This window comes from Homo sapiens, chromosome 2 (genome assembly GCF_000001405.40).
Source record: "Homo sapiens chromosome 2, GRCh38.p14 Primary Assembly".
In the NCBI taxonomy this organism is placed as follows: domain Eukaryota; kingdom Metazoa; phylum Chordata; class Mammalia; order Primates; family Hominidae; genus Homo; species Homo sapiens.
In genome coordinates this window covers 66,381,116-66,402,971 of record NC_000002.12, presented here as the reverse complement: position 1 = coordinate 66,402,971, position 21,856 = coordinate 66,381,116, and the positions used below count along the sequence as shown (strand labels likewise).

The window sequence follows — 21,856 nt, the reverse complement described above, 5'->3', positions numbered from 1 at the left end:
GTCTGTCTAGATTCATTTTTTGGATATGGACATCCAGTTGTTCCATCATCATTTTTTGAAAAGACTATTCTTTTTTCTAATGAATTCCCTTTGCTTCTTTTTCAAAGATCTGTTTAGGTGGGTCTATTTCTGGGTTTTCTATTCTGTTGTGTTTTTATCTATTTGTATATTCTTTGGACAATACCACACTGTTTTGGTTATTATAGCTTTATGACAAATCTTGAAATTAGGTAGTGTGAGTCTTCTAACTTTATTCTTCAGTATTGTGTTGGCTATACTAGGCTTTTTCCCTTTCCAAATAAACTTTAGAATCATTTCAATATCTACAAAACAACTTTCTGGGATTTTGATTTTGGTTGCGTTGATTTTACAGATTAAGTTGGGAAGAATTCACATTTTTACAATATTGAGTTTTATAACCCATGAACATAGAATATTTCTTCATTTATTTTGAACTTCTCAAATTAATTAGCTTTGTAATCTTTGGCATATAGATCTTTTTTTAAGACAGAGTCTCATTCTGTCACTCAGGCTGGAGTGCAGAGGTGTGATCATAGCTCATTGTAACACTGAGCTGAGGTCAAGTGATCCTCTCACCTCAGCCTTCCAAGTAGTTAGGATTACAGGCATGTACCACCATGCCTGGCGACTTAATTTTTTTGTTGTTGTTGTTGAGACTGGGTTTTGCTATGTTACCCAGGCAGGTCTCAAACTCCTGGCCTCAAGCAATCTTCCTGCCTTGGGGTGAGCTACCGTGCCTGGAAAATAGATCTTACATGTATTTTGTTTGATTTATACTTAAGTATTTCATCTTTGAGGTATTATTGTAAATGATATTCTTTATTTCAGTTGTTTATTGCTGGTATGACTTTTGCATATTAACTTTGTCTCCTGTGATCTTGCTATACTGACTTATATCTAGGAGGTTTTGTTTGCTATTTCTTTGGGATTTTCTACATAGGCAATCACATTATCTATGAAGAAAGACCGTGTTATTTTCTCCCTCCCAATCTGTACATCATTTATTTCAAATTTTTGTTTTTAGTCTTACTGCAGTAGCTAGGATTTCCAGTGCTATGGTGACTAGAAATCGTGAAAGGGAACATCCTTGCCTTGTTTCCAGTTTTAGGAGTTAAGTATGTATTTTCTCACTGCTACGTACGATGTTAGTTATAGGATTTTGTAGATGTTCTTTGTGAAGTTGAGTAAATTTTTCTCTACTCCTAGTTTTCTGAGAGTATTTATCACGAAAGGGTGCTGGATTTTGTAAAAAAAAAATTTTTTTTTGTATGAATTGACAAAGCAGACTTCAGAACAAGGAAAATTATCAGGTATAAAGAAAAGCATTACATCATGATAAAGAGGTCAGTTCTTCCAGAAACTATTCCAATTTTTTTCTGTGTATTCAACTGACAACTGAGAATTAAAATACATAAGGCAAAAACTGATAGAACTGCAAAGAGAACTAGACAAATCCACTATTAAAGTTGGAGACTATAGCTATCTTTCAGTAATTGATCAAACAGTGTTTTAGTGGGCCTGTGCCTCTGGGCTGTAACCTTCAGAAGTGTTTCTTAGGGTTTTTTCCCCCTTCTTAGATGAAACTGGAAAGCTAGAGGGTGCTAGAGTTGGGTAAATGTCTTTATCCCAGGTGAAGGCTCTGGTAAAATCCTCTGGGTGTATTTCAAAATGGTTACTTTCTTCTTCCTTCTGCCCAAGATACAGGGAATCTTTTCTGGCTCTTCCCTGTAAGAATTTGGTGAGATTTCTGAAGGTAAAACCCACAAATGTGTGTGGTGGACATCCTAAGACTGTGGCCTCTGGGGTTTCTCACTGTGATACTCATCCACACTCAGCCTCCAGTAATTCATCAAAATTACCACAGAGGTGGTCTTACCAGTTTATGGCTCTAGTTGCTTCTGTTCCAGGTAAGCAGATATCAGCTGTGGTTCTCTTCATTTGCCTGTCTCTCCAGATACTGGGTGGCATTTTGTTCTGTGACCTCAATTCTCTGATGGATCCTGGAAGAGTTGTTGATTTTCAGTTGTTTTTTTTTTTTTTTTTAGCTTTTTTTCTTGTTGTAAGGATGTGAATTCTTCCCAACTTAATCTGTAAAATCAGTCCAAGCTCTTTATATGTTGGATCTAAAACCAGATGTCTTGTAAGTAATATCTTTTGATGTTGTTGTAATAGTATTTTAAAACATTTCAATTTCTAATTGTTGCTAGCATATAGAAATGCAACTGAATTTTGTATTCTGACGCTATATCTCTTAACTTTGCCAAACTCGCTTATTAGTGTTACTAGTTTTTACATAAATTACATCAATTTTATGCACAGACAATCATGTTTTATGTAAATAAAGATAATTATACTTCTTTTCTAATCTGGATGGGTTTTATTTCTTTTTCCTGTCAGATTGCACTGGCTACATCCTCCAGTACAATGTTGAACAGAGTGGTAAAAGCAGACATCCTTATCTTATTCCTGTTCTTAGGAGAAAAGCATTCAGTCTTTCATTGTTAATATGATGTGAGTTGTAGGTTTTTCACAGATGTCCTTTATCAGGACTAGGAAGTTTCTGTGTTAGTTTCCTAAGGCTCCTGTAACAAGGCACTAAATACTGAGCTTAAAACCATACAAATGTATTACTTCTCAGTTCTGGAGGCTAGAAGTCTGAAATCAAGGTGTCAATGGGACCATGCTTCTTTTGAGATTTTGGGTAGAATCCTTCCTTGCCCCTTCCTTGTCCCCTTCTTATAAGGACACAGTCATTTTTGATTAAGGGCCCATCCTACTCCAGTATGATTTCATCATTAATTATGTTTGCAATGTTCTTATTTTCAAATAAGGTCGTATTCTGAAGTACTAGAGGTTAGGACTCAACATATATTTTGGGGGAACAAAATTTAATTCATAGCATTTCCTATTCCTTGTTTGATGACTTTTAAAAAAATCAAGAATGGATATTGGATTTTGCCACATACTCTTACTGAATTTATTGAAATGGTTATATATACATATATATTTTTATTTATTAGTTTATATTTGGGTGATTTACATCAATTGATCTTTTACTATTAAGCCAACCTTGCATTCTTGGGATGAAACCTACTTGGTCATGTGTTGTGCCCAACCCCTGTTAATCTCAATAGGGAAGGCACCAGGTTTAAGAGGCCAAAGAAGACGTGCAGAGCCAACAAACAAGATGTGGATTTTTATCAGGGGCTTACATACAGGGGAGAGGGTCCAGTGGTGGTGGGCTGGGCAATATATCTGCCTACTGCAGCCCAGTGGTGGCAGGCTAGACAACATATCCACCTGGCCCAGTGGCAACAGGCTAGACAAACCTGCCTTTCTATGGTCACAGTGGTGGCAGCCTGGACGATAACTGCATGGCCCAGGGGTGGCAGGCTGGTCAGGAAAACTGTAATCACCTGCAAACATCATGCAGTTTATATAACATTTTCACTTACCCTTCCTGTAACAACATTCACCTGGCAACCTTCATTTAACCCAAAATTCAGGGCCTCAATCTCCTGTAGGGCTGTGTTCTGCAGGGCAAACTGAGGGCTCAGTGTTTATCATAGATAAGGAAGGAACCTCCAGGTTGGCCACTCCCAGATTCCCTAGCTCAGAACACACATTCAGGTGCATCCGCCATACAGGGTCATTCTAATGGTATGCTCAAATTATTGCTGTCAGGTGCATGTACTCTACGTCACTGTGTATTATCCTTTTAACATATCGTCTGCCCTTTGTATCCAGTTCTGCAATATAAGTTTGGATTCAGCCAAACTTATATCAAAAATATTATTTTTTTGTATCAAAAATATTCAAAAACAATATTCTGCCTGTACTAAACATGAACAGACCTTTTTCTTGTCATTATTCCCCAAACAATACAATATAATAACAAATATTTGTGTAGCATTTGCATTGTATTAGGTATTATAGATAATCTAGGGGTGATTAAAAGTATATAAGAGGATATACATAGGTTATATGCATATACTATGCCATTTTTTATCAACATCCACAGATTTTGGTATCTGTGGGAAGTCCTGGAACCAATCTCCCAGAGATACTGAGGCAGTGGCTATTGCAAGATTTGCTAAAATTTTGTTCACAAACTTTCCATCTGTATTCAGGAAAAATATTAGTCTATCGTTTCCCTTTCTTATAAAGTCTTGGCTGGTTTTGGTATCATGTTAATTTAGGCCTCAGAATAAATCGGGATGAATTTCTTTCCTTTCAATGGTATTGTATGGTTTGAGTAGAATTTGTATTATTTCTTCCTTAAATGTTTGCTTAAATTCACAAATGAAACCATTCCGGCCTGTTGCTATTATTTATTTTTTGTTTGTTTTTTGGTGGGAAGGTTTTTGATAGATATCAGTTTATTTTACAGATATAGGGATATTCAGATGATACATTTCTTTTTGATTAAGCTGTGGTAATTTTGTCTTTCAAAGAACTGCCTATTTAATCTTTCAAATAATTTGCCTGTTGAATCAAGTTGTTGAATTTGTTGGCATAAAGATGTACAGAATTTTCCCTTATCCTCTGTAATGTGGGCACCTGTCTTATTATCCCCTCTCCAGTACTCTCTTCTATGATCCCATGAGCTCTGGCTGCCTTGGTATTCCTAGAGTCTCAGCTCCATCTCTTCAACTCAAGGAGTCTTCTGAGCTCTGCCTGCATTCCTTCTCTTTGCAAAAAATCGTATGGCCCATCTCATTTTTTCTTCTCATCTGGGGACCACCCTCCTTCACTGCTCTACATTCAGTGCTTTGAAAACTATTGTTTCATTTTTTCTTGCTGTGCTTTGGTTGTTTTAGGTAGGAGGATAAATCTGGTTCTTGTTTCTCCGTCTTAGCCACAAGCTGGAGTCTCACTTGGTTTTTAATGCCTTAAAAAAATAGACCCTGCTTTAACATCACGTGCTTATATTTTCCCCGGATAAACCTGGCTTTTTCAAGAGTCTCTGCCTATAGTTTTTAAAAGCCAGTACTTTTCAGAATCACCAGGGAAGCACAATAGAAATGCATATTCCTATGTCTGACTCCAGGGAACTCTGGGTGTGTTATTCTGGGGTGAGCTGAGTCATGGGCCCCTGAGTATTCCGATAGAGGTAGTCTGAGGGCCACACTTTGAGAAACACTGCAGTTATTTTACACAGTATTTCCTCTGCCTAGAATCCTATCTTACTTTAAAGTTAGCCTGTCTTCTGTAAAGCCTTCACCAGCTCCTCCAGGCTGAGTCAGTTACTGTTTACACCTCACTTTTTATTTTGCATAATTTTGTATCTATACTTTCTCCATGTGTATAATTATTTGTGCATTTATCTCTATCACTAGATTGTGAACTCCTTAAGCTCTGAAAAAGTGCCTGGCACATAGGTGATGCTTGGTAAACTTTTGTGTTTGGAATATGTAAATAAATGATTGGACCAGAGGGACAAAGGCTTCCAATAAACGTTCAAGTTTGCAACCCTGGATCCATCTCTTCAGTGTTCACATAGTAAAGTCTTCAAGATACTCACAACAGATGCTTATTAAAATACAGATTTCAGGGCCCTATCTGGACCTATTCAACTGGCTCTATGGCCAATGTTGGGACTTATCTGGGGTGTGATATTAAGTTGTGGCTCCAAAATCTGGCTGATAATCAGAATTGTATCTGGGGTCCCACTTCCAAAGGTCCCAACTCAGTGTAGGATAGAGACCAAAAATCCATGTTATTTAAGCTGCTAGGTAATTCTTTTTTTTTTTTTTTCTAACATCAAATTTCTTTTTTTTTTCTTTTTCCATGGTTTTCTTTCTTTTTTTTTAATTATACTTTAAGTTTTAGGGTACATGTGCACATTGTGCAGGTTAGTTACATATGTATACATGTGCCATGCTGGTGCGCTGCACCCACTAATTCGTCATCTAGCATTAGGTATATCTCCCAATGCTATCCCTCCCCCCTCCCCCCACCCCACCACAGTCCGCAGAGTGTGATATTCCCTTTCCTGTGTCCATGTGATCTCATTGTTCAGTTCCCACCTATGAGTGAGAATATGCAGTGTTTGGTTTTTTGTTCTTGCGATAGTTTACTGACAATGATGATTTCCAATTTCATCCATGTCCCTACAAAGGACATGAACTCATCATTTTTTATGGCTGCATAGTATTCCATGGTGTATATGTGCCACATTTTCTTAATCCAGTCTATCATTGTTGGACATTTGGGTTGGTTCCAAGTCTTTGCTATTGTGAATAATGCCACAATAAACATACGTGTGCATCTGTCTTTATAGCAGCATGATTTATAGTCCTTTGGGTGTATACCCAGTAATGGGATGGCTGGGTCAAATGGTATTTCTAGTTCTAGATCCCTGAGGAATGGCCACACTGACTTCCACAAGGGTTGAACTAGTTTACAGTCCCACCAACAGTGTAAAAGTGTTCCTATTTCTCCACATCCTCTCCAGCACCTGTTGTTTCCTGACTTTTTAATGATTGCCATTCTAACTGGTGTGAGATGGTATCTCATTGTGGTTTTGATTTGCATTTCTCTGATGGCCAGTGATGATGAGCATTTTTTCATGTGTTTTCTGGCTGCATAAATGTCTTCTTTTGAGAAGTGTCTGTTCATGTCCTTTGCCCACTTTTTGATGGGGTTGTTTGTTTTTTTCTTGTAAATTTGTTGGAGTTCTTTGTAGATTCTGGATATTAGCCCTTTATCAAATGAGTAGGTTGCGAAAATTCTCTCCCATTTTGTAGGTTGCCTGTTCACTCTGATGGTAGTTTCTTTTGCTGTGCAGAAGCTCTTTAGTTTAATTAGATCCCATTTGTCAATTTTGGCTTTTGTTGCCATTGCTTTTGGTGTTTTAGACATGAAGTCCTTGCCCATGCCTATGTCCTGAATGGTAATGCCTAGGTTTTCTTCTAGGGTTTTTATGGTTTCAGGTCTAACGTTTAAGTCTTTAATCCATCTTGAATTGATTTTTGTATAAGGTGTAAGGAAGGGATCCAGTTTCAGCTTTCTACATATGGCTAGCCAGTTTTCCCAGCACCATTTATTAAATAGGGAATCCTTTCCCCATTGCTTGTTTTTCTCAGGTTTGTCAAAGATCAGATAGTTGTAGATATGTGGCGTTATTTCTGAGGGCTCTGTTCTGTTCCATTGATCTATATCTCTGTTTTGGTACCAGTACCATGCTGTTTTGCTTACTGTAGCCTTGTATTATAGTTTGAAGTCAGGTAGTGTGATGCCTCCAGCTTTGTTCTTTTGGCTTAGGATTGACTTAGTGATGCGGGCTCTTTTTTGGTTCCATATGAACTTTAAAGTAGTTTTTTCCAATTCTGTGAAGAAAGTCACTGGTAGCTTGATGGGGATGGCATTGAATCTGTAAATTACCTTAGGCAGTATGGCCATTTTCATGATATTGATTCTTCCTACCCATGAGCATGGAATGTTCTTCCATTTGTTTGTATCCTCTTTTATTTCCTTGAGCAGTGGTTTGTAGTTCTCCTTGAAGAGGTCCTTCACATCCCTTGTAAGTTGGATTCCTAAGTATTTTATTCTCTTTGAAGCAATTGTGAATCGGAGTTCACTCAGATTTGGCTCTCTGTTTGTCTGTTGTTGGTGTATAAGAATGCTTGTGATTTTTGTACATTGATTTTGTGTCCTGAGACTTTGCTGAAGTTGCTTATCAGCTTAAGGAGATTTTGGGCTGAGACAATGGGGTTTTCGAGATATACAAGCATGTCGTCTGCAAACAGGGATAATTTGACTTCTTCTTTTCCTAATTGAATACCCTTTATTTCCTTCTCCTGCCTAATTGCCCTGGCCAAAACTTCCAACACTATGTTGAATAGGAGTGGTGAGAGAGGGCATCCCTGTCTTGTGCCAGTTTTCAAAGGGAATGCTTCCAGTTTTTGCCCATTCAGTATGATATTGGCTGTGGGTTTGTCATAGATAGCTCTTATTATTTTGAAATACGTCCCATCAATGCCTAATTTATTGAGAGTTTTTAGCATGAAGGGTTGTTGAATTTTGTCAAAGGCTTTTTCTGCATCTATTGAGATAATCATGTGGTTTTTGTCTTTGGCTGTGTTTATATGCTGGATTACATTTATTGATTTGCGTATATTGAACCAGCCTTGCATCCCAGGGATGAAGCCCACTTGATCATGGTGGATAAACTTTTTGATGCGCTGCTGGATTCGTCTTGCCAGTATTTTATTGAGGATTTTTGCATCAATGTTCATCAAGGATATTGGTCGAAAATTCTCTTTTTTTGTTGTGTCTCTGCCCGGCTTTGGTATCAGAATGATGCTGGCCTCATAAAATGAGTTAGGGAGGATTCCCTCTTTTTCGATTGATTGGAATAGTTTCAGAAGGAATGGTACCAGTTCCTCCTTGTACCTCTGGTAGAATTCGGCTGTGAATCCATCTGGTCCTGGACTCTTTTTGGTTGGTAAGCTATTGATTATTGCCACAATTTCAGATCCTGTTATTGGTCTATTCAGAGATGCAACTTCTTCCTGGTTTAATCTTGGGAGGATGTGTGTGTCGAGGAATTTATCCATTTCTTCTAGATTTTCTAGTTTATTTGCGTAGAGGTGTTTGTAGTATTGTCTGATGGTAGTTTGTATTTATGTGGGATCGGTGGTGATATCCCCTTTATCATTTTTTATTGTGTCTATTTGATTCTTCTCTCTTTTTTTCTTTATTAGTCTTGCTATTGGTCTATCAATTTTGTTGATCCTTTCAAAAAACCAGCTCCTGGATTCATTAATTTTTTGAAGGGTTTTTTGTGTCTCTATTTCCTTCAGTTCTGCTCTGATTTTAGTTATTTCTTGCCTTCTGCTAGCTTTTGGATGTGTTTGCTCTTGCTTTTCTAGTTCTTTTAACTGTCATGTTAGGGTGTCAATTTTGGATCTTTCCTGCTTTCTCTTGTGGGCATTTAGTGCTATAAATTTCCCTCTACACACTGCTTTGAATGTGTCCCAGAGATTCTGGTATGTTGTGTCTTTGTTCTCATTGGTTTCAAAGAACATGTTTATTTCTGCCTTCATTTTGTTATGTACCCAGTAGTCATTGAGGAGCAGGTTGTTCAGTTTACATGTAGTTGAGAGGTTTTGAGTGAGATTCTTAATCCTGAGTTCTAGTTTGATTGCACTGTGATCTGAGAGATAGTTTGTTATAATCTCTGTTCTTTTACATTTGCTGAGGAGAGCTTTACTTCCAAGTATGTGGTCAATTTTGGAATAGGTGTGGTGTGGTGCTGAAAAAAATGTATATTCTGTTGATTTGGGGTGGAGAGTTCTGTAGATGTCTATTAGGTCCGCTTGGTGCAGAGCTGAGTTCAATTCCTGGGTATCCTTGTTGACTTTCTGTCTCGTTGATCTGTCTAATGTTGACAGTGGAGTGTTAAAGTCTCCCATTATTAATGTGGGGGAGTCTAAGTCTCTCTGTAGGTCACTCAGGACTTGCTTTATGAATCTGGGTGCTCCTGTATTGGGTGCATGTATATTTAGGATAGTTAGCTCTTCTTGTTGAATTGATCCCTTTACCATTATGTAATGGCCTTCTTTGTCTCTTTTGATCTTTGTTGGTTTAAAGCCTGTTTTATCAGAGACTAGGATTGCAACCCCTGCCTTTTTTTGTTTTCCATTTGCTTGGTAGATCTTCCTCCATCCTTCTACTTTGAGCCTATGTGTGTCTCTGCACGTGAGATGGGTTTCCTGAATACAGCACACTGATGGGTCTTGACTCTTTATCCAATTTGCCAGTCTGTGTCTTTTAATTGGAGCATTTAGTCCATTTACATTTAAAGTTAATATTGTTATGTGTGAATTTGATCCTGTCATTATGATGTTAGCTGGTGATTTTGCTTGTTAGTTGATGCAGTTGCTTCCTAGTCTCGATGGTCTTTACATTTTGGCATGATTTTGCAGCGGCTGGTACCAGTTGTTCCTTTCCATGTTTAGCGCTTCCTTCAGGAGCTCTTTTAGGGCAGGCCTGGTGGTGACAAAATCTCTCAGCATTTGCTTGTCTGTAAAGTATTTTATTTCTCCTTCACTTATGAAGCTTAGTTTGGCTGGATATGAAATTCTGGGTTGAAAATTCTTTTCTTTAAGAATGTTGAATATTGGCCCCCACTCCCTTCTGGCTTGCAGGGTTTCTGCTGAGAGATCCGCTGTTAGTCTGATGGGCTTCCCTTTGAGGGTAACCTGACCTTTCTCTCTGGCTGCCCTTAACATTTTTTCCTTCATTTCAACTTCGGTGAATCTGACAATTATGTGTCTTGGAGTTGCTCTTCTCGAGGAGTATCTTTGTGGCGTTCTCTGTATTTCCTGAATCTGAACGTTGGCCTGCCTTGCTAGATTGGGGAAGTTCTCCTGGATAATATCCTGCAGAGTGTTTTCCAACTTGGTTCCATTCTCTCCATCACTTTCAGACGTAGATTTGGTCTTTTCACATAGTCCCATATTTCTTGGAGGTTTTGCTCATTTCTTTTTATTCTTTTTTCTCTAAACTTCCCTTCTCGCTTCATTTCATTCATTTCATCTTCCATCGCTGATACCCTTTCTTCCAGTTGATTGCATCGGCTCTTGAGGCTTCTGCATTCTTCACGTAGTTCTCGAGCCTTGGTTTTCAGCTCCATCAGCTCCTTTAAGCACTTCTCTGTATTGGTTATTCTAGTTATACATTCTTCTAAAGTTTTTTCAAAGTTTTCAACTTCTTTGCCTTTGGTTTGAATGTCCTCCCGTAGCTCAGAGTAATTTGATCGTCTGAAGCCTTCTTCTCTCAGCTCGTCAAAGTCATTCTCCATCCAGCTTTGTTCCGTTGCTGGTGAGGAACTGCGTTCCTTTGGAGGAGGAGAGGCGCTCTGCGTTTTAGAGTTTCCAGTTTTTCTGTTCTGTTTTTTCCCCATCTTTGTGGTTTTATCTACTTTTGGTCTTTGATGATGGTGATGTACAGATGGGTTTTTGGTGTGGATGTCCTTTCTGTTTGTTAGTTTTCCTTCTAACAGACAGAACCCTCAGCTGCAGGTCTGTTGGAATACCCTGCCGTGTGAGGTGTCAGTGTGCCCCTGCTGGGGGGTGCCTCCCAGTTAGGCTGCTCGGGGGTCAGGGGTCAGGGACCCACTTGAGGAGGCAGTCTGCCCATTCTCAGATATCCAGCTGCGTGCTGGGAGAACCACTGCTCTCTTCAAAGCTGTCAGACAGGGACATTTAAGTGTGCAGAGGTTACTACTGCTGTCTTTTTGTTTGTCTGTGCCCTGCCCCCAGAGGTGGAGCCTACAGAGGCAGGCAGGCCTCCTTGAGCTGTGGTGGGCTCCACCCAGTTCGAGCTTCCAGGCTGCTTTGTTTACCTAAGCAAGCCTGGGCAATGGCGGGCGCCCCTCCCCCAGCCTGGCTGCCGCCTTGCAGTTTGATCTCAGACTGCTGTGCTAGCAATCAGCGAGACTCCGCGGGCGTAGGATCCTCCGAGCCAGGTGTGGGATATAATCTTGTGGTGCACCGTTTTTTAAGCCGGTCCGAAAAGCGCAATATTCGAGTGGGAGTGACCCGATTTTCCAGGTGTGTCCGTCACCCCTTTCTTTGACTCGGAAAGGGAACTCCCTGACCCCTTGCACTTCCCAAGTGAGGCAATGCCTCGCCCTGCTTCGGCTCGTGCACGGTGCATGCACCCAATGACCTGCGCTCACTGTCTGGCACTCCCTAGTGAGATGAACCCGGTACCTCAGATGGAAATGCAGAAATCACCCGTCTTCTGCGTCGCTCACGCTGGGAGCTGTAGACCGGAGCTGTTCCTATTCGGCCATCTTGGCTCCTCCCCTAGGTAATTCTTATAATTACTCATCTAGGTTTAAGAACTATAGGTCTAGAACTATCCTTACTCAGGCTGGAGGCCAAAATTACTCAGAAGAAATGTTAAAGTCCACATTCTCCAGGGTGTGTGATCCAGAAGACACCCTGGCTGACTAGTTCCCAGCCCCAGGGTGTCTGATTCAGAAGTTTCGGCATGAATCCCCAGGTATACGATTATGCTATTTACTCCTGGTTAAGAAAAACTTTTTTAAAGTTTGGTGAATGTTGGTAAGGTTTGGTTCCCCTCCCTTCCTTCCAGATTAATCTTACGCAAATCACTTAATTCTAAGATTGGTTTCCCCCACCCCACTTCTGTTTAAGGGTATCCTGGCAGAGTTGATTCAAAAGCTTTATTCTCCTTTTCTCACACCTTGATGCTTTTTTGCTGTCTGCTCTTTCATTTAGTGGCCTTTGTATAGGAATTTCTCGATGAATGTTTTGAATTAAACTGTCATTATTTGGCTATACTGGGAAAAGGAGCTGCTGGTGCAAAAATGAGTTCTGTTTTTTTTTTTTTCCCCTCACCACTGTTAAGTAAGCTCTTCCAAATTTCAACTATCACCTTCTTTAAAGCATTCTGAGAATCCATAGCAGGGTAGAAAGAGGGGGGCTGGTGGTCTTGAGAGTGGCAGGGCAGGGGGGAAAGTGGTAGGAAAACCTGAGGTATGCATGTGAACTTCAGGAAAGCTCATTCAGCCTGAATTACAGACATGTTCAGGTCTGCCCAGTCCTAACACAAGCCCGTGTAATCAGGTTTGGTCTGGATGTCAAGGAATCGAGATAAAATGGAGCAGAAAATTGTTTGATTTCTTCTTTCCCTTTTGTTCGGAGACTTCCTGGCCTCTGCCATCTGGGCACCCCCCATGCTGTGGTGTCCCACCTTTGCTTTGCTCTGACGTCCAGGTCAAAGTCATGTTTTACTTCAGCAGAATGATTCCCCTTCAGTCCACACCAATAGGCTTGGTGGCTGAGCCGCTAATGACTGTCTAACTCTTTGTGAGAGGTCATCACTCTGAGGAGTTTGCCAACTACTTTGAGAAAGGGAAGAAGCGGCCTCCCTCTGCAGTTATAAGAAGTTGGGCTATGACTCATTATGTGAACTCAGGGTGGGGCTGGTAAAATCTATGGCCTGATGGCCGGGTCAGTTTCCCCTCCTTGAGTCAAGTAGACCTTAAATATGTGAAGCATACTCACTTGGCTTAGGCAGATTTTAATCTTTTTGCCCTCTCCTTGACCAATCAAAATCAAGACACTTGGGAACAGGCAAGTTGCTAGTGGTGAGCTTCTCAAAGCTAACAGGTTTTGAGCTGTTTGCATGTCACAGAACAATTCATCATCTGAGGTTTTTAAAGGACTCCTACTCATAACACTGAAGTGAGTGGAAAAGTGTTCAGACAGGGACATTTACAAATGAGTTTTCTGTGTAGTTTCATCTATAAGAAAGCCCTTTTTCAAAAAATCTGAAAAATAACTCTTTGCAGTGAAAGACATGACTCTCCACTGATAGGAAGAAAAGAATAGTCATACTAACTGGCTCTTTCTCCAGCACATCTCCTTCCTGTGGGGCTGTATTATTGGAAAGTGGCAGTTTTCAAGAGGATACTTTTGTCAATTTTAGTGGATCAGATGCTCAGCTTCAAATTAACAGAGGGCTTTCTTCCTCTTCTTTTTTCATTTAAATGTCCTTGCTTCTTGAAACACTAATAGAAGAAAAAGGACAGTAAGTGATTGCATATGGAAAATGAAAATGCTCACTAATTTCAGTATGAAAGGTCGGGGGTTCAAATAATTATGCCTGTGTAAGTGGTTTCTAGCCTTTCACTTTGAGTTTAGGTTACATTTCTTTACACTTCAGAGTGTTATTTCAGATTACATGCCTACTTTGTATCAAGTTGATATTGTCCATATTGCTAAAGGAAATATTTTCTTGGAAAATGCAAAAGTACACAGTTAAAACCAGCAGGGTTTTTATTCTTTTGAAAAAAATATAAATTATACTGTGAAACAGTATTCTTATGAAAAGCCAAATCAAATTTCCTATTAGAGTCTTCAAATTGGCTATTAAATTGGAAAATTGCAGGGATAAAAGACATCTTTGTTTATGTGGTTTTTTGTTTTGTTTTGTTTTGTTTTTGTTTCGGATCAGAAAACATGGCTTTCCATGCTGAGATCTTGAGTGTATTTGACTGACTAGAGGTATCAAAGACTTTGCCGGCACTATATGTAACTTTGGCTTGGGGCTGAGCATATACCTTTTCACGTCAAAGTGTTTACATTTCTGAGGAACCATTTTAATTTTAGGATGTCACGAATTGTAGTCCCAAAGTACAGCTTCATGTCTAAATATGCTATTGAAACTACAAATTCTGCTTTCACAAATTATGACTTCTGTTTTATTTTTCTTTTTAAACAAACATAGCGGCTAAACCAAAGTTTAATACTTTTCATTCTTTCCTATAAAACAACAAAGTGTTGGCATCTCCTGGATATACACGTCTCTAAATGTTTATCAACTACCTGATCCATCAGTCCTCAGTGACAAATGCTGATATCCCCACAATAGTGACAAACAGGATTAAATAACATCTCTCCAAGGACTGATCAGAAGAGTCAAAACTGCATGATATTAATATTTTTTCTTTACCTATAATTTTATTGAATATAAGCACTGAAAAGTGATACAAGTAATGGTAATTTTTAGTATTTAATATGGCATTTTTCCATCCGTAAAATGTTTTATCACCATCGGGTAGTTAACCTTCTAACATCATCATGAATTAATTAGTTCAGTTAGGTTCATATCTCATATTACTCAGAAGGAATTTTCCTTTTGTATCTATGGCTGGAAAATGTACTGAAATGTTGCTTTTAATACAAAGGTAATACTTAACTCTTCAGCTTTCATGTGATCTTCTTCATTGAATAGCCTGGGAAACGGAAGATTGTGTACTATTTGGGGCAGAAAGCCTCATTTTGAGGGCTTAATATTTCTCTCAGAATTTGTAACTGTGTGACTTTTAGTGAACTGCCTGAGCCTTCTGATCCTCAGTTTCCCCATCTGTAAAGTGGTGATAATAATACATCATATCTACTTTGATATTGCCATAAAGAGATCAAATTAAAAATTTACTATAAAATTCTGTAATTATAAAAATCTAGCTGAAAGGGAGAGTGGTCACTTTCTCCCCACAATCGCTTTAGCGTTCTTTGATTCAGTGTGGTCTCATCTTCAGCTATTCACAAATCATTTTCATGATTATTGCCATGTCTTTGCTTCCTTATGCTATTAGTTGCATAACTTTAGTTGCATAGAAGACTTCTCTAAATCTTCTTTAAAGTATAAATAAATCTATTTTAAAAGGGAATTTTATGTCATTATTGTAAATAGAATTGCAATATTACAGCTATGAATAGAAGGTAACAGCAAAAATAAATAAAATAAAAACAAAGTAATAACCACTGCTCTGAATAACACGGTGTTGTGGTGTGCACTACATTTTCACAAATGCTGATTCAGCTGACAGTGATGGCCATCAGTGGGGCTTTGCTCATCGAAGTGACAATTCTGGGTAGGGCAAGGAACTGGCCCTGAATCTGGTGCTTAGCCTTGCCTGCCTTGTCATCTTCTTAGTCCAGATTGCCCAGCCCTAGGGGTGACAAATTGGAAGCCACTGGGTTATGACACCAGGGAAGCTGGAAGGAAGAGGTCGATGGCCAATTAGGATTTTTCTTTTTCCATATACATAAGGGATATTTTTGTGGCGTCTGCTTACTCGGAATGTGTGACTAACTGCCAAGGAGGGTCACAGGAGGAAAATAAGAGACACTGTTAATGCTTAGCCAATAAATAGAGCATTTTATTGGATCTCTGTGAGGCAGACTGCACTCTATTTTGAAAAACAGCAGCAGCTTTGCTGTTCTCTGTGTTGTAAAAAGTAAAAGATTTGCCCAACTTCCAAAGTGCAGCCTTAAAAATGGACAGAGCGCGGATACTTCTGTAAGCCTCGCAGCCACTGTGTGTCTGTTTCTATAAACTTAAGACGTAAAGTTTCCAATGAGGTTTCCATTTAGAACATGATAGGGAAAAAATCAAGCTTTCCTCCACTGCTGGAGAAAGTTTCTTGTCCTCCTCTTCTCAGTAGTTTGTTGAAGCATGCACAGGGAATATAAATTTATTATCACAATTGAACATACTTAAAAAAGGAAATTTGCCATAAAAACCATATAAGAATTTCAGATATGTAAAAACATGTGCATACACTATCAATATGTATTTAGTCTGTACTTACTTCCTTATCTACTTTCACAAATTGGAAAAATCAAGTTACTTGAATCTCAGGTCTATATGATACAATTGTTTCAAAGAGTTAAAAATGCTTTCGTATGTTATCTCATTGTGTTTCTACAGTTCAACAGAGGAGGGTGGAAAAAGATGCTGTAATTCTCGCTAAAAATAGGTAGCTCTAGTCCACTTTAAGCACAGATAAAACTAAGATTCAGAGACATAAAATCATATTTCCCATAGTTAGTGTGGATTAGAACATGTGGTTTGATCCATCAGAAATTAAACTTCTATGTTTTAAAATTATCCATCCCTAAATAGGGCCAGCTGCTTTTCTGTTGATAATCACAGGTTCTCTGAGAGCTCTTGATATCCCTCCCACCTCTCTTGTGATTTTCGTAGATTTTAGTTCAGCCAGACAAGAATTTTGTCAATTTCTACACCTATATAATTTTGTACTCTTTGAAGGACTTTTTGGAAATAGTCCCAATGACACTAAAGACTTCAATATCAGTGCTAGCAATATCAGATATTTGAAACTTTGAGATGTGTAATATTTTGCAATTTGCCATCCTAAAGCTCATGTGATATTTCTTCAAAATGCACGGAGACCTCTAGGGAGTATACAGGCTCCTTTGCGGGGGGGTGGTGGGAGAAGTGATGCGAATGTAAATATAGCTCTAGTAGTAAACAGGGATCCTTCTGCAAATGTTCATATACTGGATATGTGTATTTGAAAGACCATTGATTCTTTCAAATTTTCTTTATTAACTCTCAAAAATATGACTGACTCAAATAATTGTATTCATGAGTAGTTTGATGCAGTTATATATTATAAAAAAGGGAAGTCTTTCATTTCCAACACTTTATTACTTTCTCCAAGCCATTTTTAAAGGAAAATAATATTATGCTTAAAGTTCTGTTTCACTATGCATAGGCTACAAACCCATGAGAGTCCATTATTAGTATGCATTAAAAATTCATTGATGAAAGTTTAAAATTCCTTAAAATCATTTGAAATGCCAACAGGCAATTCTCCATTACATTGCCATCAATTATAAGAATTCTAAAAGTTATTTTCTTGACATCTGCCTGCCTAAAATTACATCTGTTGGGCTCAAGAAGCACAAATTAATTATTCTGTTTTCAGGGCTGGAGCTGCAAATGCTTTGAAAGAAATTGGCCCAATGTACTAGGCACATTACTAATTCAGAAGTGTAATAAAAATCAGGCTCCACATTATGAAAAACAAATCCATAAGCACAGGGAACATCAATTTCAGGCTTTCTTTGCTAGTTATATTTAGCTCCATTTCTTTTTTGCTGTTATGACACACAAGCATATCCTGGATTGTCTGAAATCTATTTTGCTTTCCTAATGAACTTACATAACATCTCTCCATAAGATATTATTTCTCCTGTATTCAGACATGTCTCAGAGGCCACATAAAACCACAAGACAATGGAAATGATGTACTTTGACTGTAAGGTCTGATTGTTGTTGCTCATTATTAAAACTGAGAAATACACAGGAGTTAATATCACATATAACAATTCATAAAGAAATGTTTAGATAAAGGTGAACAAAACACAAATTATTATAAAAATTATGAAGCTTATTAGTAATACCATTTCAATCTTGATAAATAATGCAAACAAAGAATTAAAGCAATAATATCGATGAAGAGCACTAGCTATATTTTAAGAATGTAGATTTTGTAGAATTGTTTCTCTTTAATCAAAAAGCTTGAAATGATTCTCAATTCATTCTACAAATTTTGTAAAGATAGGATTAATTTAGTTGTTTAAATTCAGGTTTATTGCATCACAAAAATTCTCATAAATGATCCTGTATAATCATTTCCTTTTAAAGTAATATACTAATTAATTTCAATTAAATATATGTAAAAGAAGATATATTTTGAAAAATGTGTCTCCCTTGCCATTTGTTAATATATTTAAAAAGTGTAAACCTTGAAACATTTAGCATTGAAAATATTCATTTTTGGTAATTTCTCAAGGGGGCAATTTATTAAGCGAAAGGCTTTTAACATTAGCTAAAAGCAGCCCTGTAAATCATGGGTGTCATCAAACTGCTTCATCACTTCATTAATTTAAAAGATTATTATATGCGTAACTGACATAATTTTGAACAATGTTACATGGTTAATTTATTAATGTAGAAAAGCAGAAATGACACACTGGCTTGATTTATTTTTGTAATTGTAGAATTTTAGAACTTTTGCCTATGACTTTCACTAACAGAAGAAATGATTCAGTGTCTCACTGGTGATTTTATAGAGGGCTCTTCTCTGCTAATGCTGCTAGTAGTAATGTCTTCTGATCACTTAATTTTAAAATACATTTCTGAGAGTGTAACACAAAGCTGTTAAAAAAAATAAATAAAAACCTACCTCTTTGTTAAAGTCTGGTGGTCACATATAGGATACCTACCTTTCTATAATGATTATTATGAGGTGCTAATTTTTAAAAATGTGTTTTGAGCTTTTTGGAGAATACCATGTTATTAAAGTATTATGGTTCTAATTACATATGTTATCTCTGCTTTGTCTTTCATAATAATATCTTTTCTAAACAGCTATGTATTTATGAAAATCATCTCAGAGACTATACATTATAATGATCTGATCGTATATTTTTCTTTTGTATCTGTATTTCGTGATCTTCCTGGGTATTGTGTGAAGGGCTAATGAAGTAAGAGAAGTCATTGGGTCAAATTTTATTAAGGTCTATTTTTGATCTTGCCTGAGAAAAGGATTTTTTTCCCTCTATTAGTTCAAAATCTGGGACAAATAATATATATGCACCTTTTTTCTATTTTTTAAGTTATGAAATAACAACTGAGATAATTTATGTTAAATTTATTTATTGATTGTAATAAGAACTTTTTTGAACTATGAACTTGCAAAAACGTTTGAGTAAATTCTTCTTGCTTAAAAATCTTAGTCACAAAGCAGCATCAAGCCTCAGAGAATCTTTTCCTAGTGTTGAATGTCTAAAGGTCTTTTTAGTAACAAAATAGAGATCGGTACATAGGTCATAAAACCTGTATTTCAACTTCAGAGCACTGAATTTCCTGAGTGAAATGCACCCATCAACTTAATTCGTAGACAGAGATATAATCAAATTAGTGACCGTATGGAATGTTCTACATCTCTTATTGTTATAAGTGCGCATACAAAACTGGAAAAAAAGAAAAGCTATGAAAATAGTAGGCACAGTTTCTACATTCTGTTACTTATGTACAGAAAATAAATTCTATCTTGAAGTCTTTTGACAAATCACTAAAATTATAGTGTAATTTCATTGCTGTGTTATAAGATCTCAAATTTTTACTACATGCTCTAAAGGATTATATATAATGTTTTAGATAGAAATTTATAAGAGTATATGATTAAAAATAAAAGTTCTAGGTAGTATTTAAAGCAGTCTAATGTAACTACTTACCCCAGTGTTTGGTCTACTGATGTCGAAGCTGAAGTGTACTTTATAGTATCTTCCTTAAATTGAAATTGCTAATTATCCAGAGAGGCAGCCTCCGTGGATGGTAACAATTTATTCAATGATTCATTGTAAACACTATAGTCAGCACAGCACTAGCATCGTCTACTGTGAAGGTTCTCAAGTTATCCCGAAGAAATATCTGTTAACAAGTTTGCATGACCCAGGAGAGCCTTCTAATATAGAAGGATTTTCTGCATTTATTTTTCTCATTAATTGTGATGCTTTTCAGTATGTACAAAGGTAAAACAACTTTAAAAATACTCCTCCCAGCACTTTGGGAGGGCAAGGCTGGTGGATCACGAGGTCAGAAGATCGAGACCACTCTGGCTAACACGGTGAAACCTGGTTTCTACTAAAAAAAATACAAAAAAAAAAAAAATTAGCTGGGTGTGGTGATGCGTGCCTTTAATCCCAGCTACTAGGGAGGCTGAGGCAGGAGAATCACTTGAACCCGGGAGACGGAGGTTGCAGTGAGCTGAGATCATGCCACTTCACTCCAGCCTGGGTGACAGAGTGAGACTTCATCTCAAAAAAGAAAAAAAAAAATCCAGCAAACATTTCTGTGAATTGACATCAATGGTGAATTCTTAACTTACTGATTATTATATGTATTTTTGACAAATAGGGTGAGAAGGTAGGAAATGAACAGGTTTAAAATATAGTAGGAATAGTAAAATATCCTATCCGTTGTTAAGAAGCATTGGTGGTCTTTGAAAAGCTATATCCTACCCAAATAAGAAAGAAAGACTATCTTTCGTTTCACTGTAATCAATATGACCCTTTCCCTCCCTCCCCGGTTCCTGGATCTTTTTCTTTCTTCTTTCCTCTTGCTATATTCTAAGGAATAGATCCCAAGTGAATAATCAAAATTTAGAAAATTCCTACTACTACAATAGTTCAGTTAAAGGACACTGATCTACAAGCATTGAAATTAGGGAGCCAGACAAACTAAAAGTTAGCAGAAGAATGACAAAGGAAGATCTATTGCTGTTTAAGATTTACTGAACTTGTCAGCATAATACTGCTCTGAAGAAAACACTGTAAAATACACAGTATCTGCCTTGAGGGGTTAAGATTTAAATTGGACAGATGAGACAAGCTGGACAGGAAATCACCATAAGAAAGCATATGTTAACAGAGTAAAATATTTTTAAGGTCTATACAATTTCTGAATTCGACAAACTTAAAGTGGAATTTGGCTGAAAGGAAATAAAAATAAATGGCTTCATTCTCCTTACATAAATTTTCTTCTATACAAGCATCTTAGAAAATATCTTTTGGTGTCAACAAATATGTGTCTCTGTTCCACTCCTTATGGTGAGTTTGAGAAAATAAAATTTCTGTTTTAATATACAGGATCAAGAATATATTTCTTCAAAATGCCTCTCTGAAAGCATAAACCTTGGATCCCCAATTGGGGTGATCATTCTCTTTGTGGAAAGAGGTTAGTAGGTAAAACAACTGAGTTGTATGCATTTGCTCAGGAAAGATTGGCAATTATGCCAAATTATGTCTAATAGTTTTAGAATGTGGAATAGTGTTTATTAATGTCTGAAGGGAGGCCCTTAAATCTCCCTTTCCCCCCAAACTTCAGCTTTTACTTTACCTGTCATTTTAAAAGATGAAAGAACTAGCTTCATTAAGCAAAGGAGCCTTGAATTTCATTTTTAAATTTAAAACACACACACACACACACACACACACCACCCATTTCTATTTGACAAGACTAGTTATCTTTTTAAGTTTTCATATCATTTTTTCATGATATTTTATTCGATGTGAAACATGAATATCATTCTATAGTTGAAATCAGTTTTTCTCTTTCTTCTTTGCTAACTTGCACTTCTTGGCTACTGTGGAGTTTTTCAGTCTTCTTGGGCTTATACATTAACATCAAATATGTCTGAAATTCGTTATTAATTTTAGGTGTTGAATTTATTCTCACGAATAGTGAACATTAAACTCTGGAAGGAGAGAAGGAAGCACAAATACATCAATCAACAAAGTAAAAAGAATTCATGCCCTTCTGGCTTTCTTGTCTGTGGTTTTTTGAATTTGAAAGTATTTATTAGATGTTTCATTATGGCAAGGCTGTATATAGAGCAGTTTAACACAAGGTTCCTACTCTGTCTGGAAAATTAGACAAACATAAAGTTAAACAATAAGCAAAGATTTAA

At 37.4% G+C, this 21,856-nt stretch overlaps 1 long non-coding RNA gene across 1 annotated transcript, besides 4 other annotated features; it reads right to left on the bottom strand.

The window, feature by feature from the left end:
• Positions 1-10,521: 10,521 nt before the first annotated feature.
• LINC01873 (long intergenic non-protein coding RNA 1873) lies at positions 10,522-19,666 on the bottom strand. Its single transcript, NR_130931.1, has 3 exons — positions 19,623-19,666; positions 13,477-13,573; positions 10,522-12,059 (listed from the first exon to the last, which is right to left on the bottom strand). It is a non-coding gene; the product is annotated as a long intergenic non-protein coding RNA 1873 (long non-coding RNA).
• Positions 10,925-11,535: an enhancer, noted in NCBI's record as "H3K27ac-H3K4me1 hESC enhancer chr2:66618569-66619179 (GRCh37/hg19 assembly coordinates)". NCBI's record gives its function as "activates a minimal SCP1, AML or CMV promoter by ChIP-STARR-seq in primed H9 embryonic stem cells {active_cell/tissue: H9 hESC(primed)}" and the evidence as "EXISTENCE:reporter gene assay evidence [ECO:0000049][PMID:30033119]".
• Positions 11,536-12,148: an enhancer, noted in NCBI's record as "H3K27ac-H3K4me1 hESC enhancer chr2:66617956-66618568 (GRCh37/hg19 assembly coordinates)". NCBI's record gives its function as "activates a minimal SCP1, AML or CMV promoter by ChIP-STARR-seq in primed H9 embryonic stem cells {active_cell/tissue: H9 hESC(primed)}" and the evidence as "EXISTENCE:reporter gene assay evidence [ECO:0000049][PMID:30033119]".
• Positions 12,841-13,135: an enhancer, noted in NCBI's record as "tiled region #4056; K562 Activating DNase matched - State 3:PromF". NCBI's record gives its function as "activates a minimal TATA promoter and a strong SV40 promoter by Sharpr-MPRA in K562 cells {active_cell/tissue: K562}" and the evidence as "EXISTENCE:reporter gene assay evidence [ECO:0000049][PMID:27701403]".
• Positions 17,476-18,670: an enhancer, noted in NCBI's record as "E4 enhancer". NCBI's record gives its function as "enhancer in posterior lateral mesoderm" and the evidence as "EXISTENCE:transgenic organism evidence [ECO:0001131][PMID:24022755]".
• Positions 19,667-21,856: the final 2,190 nt, after the last annotated feature.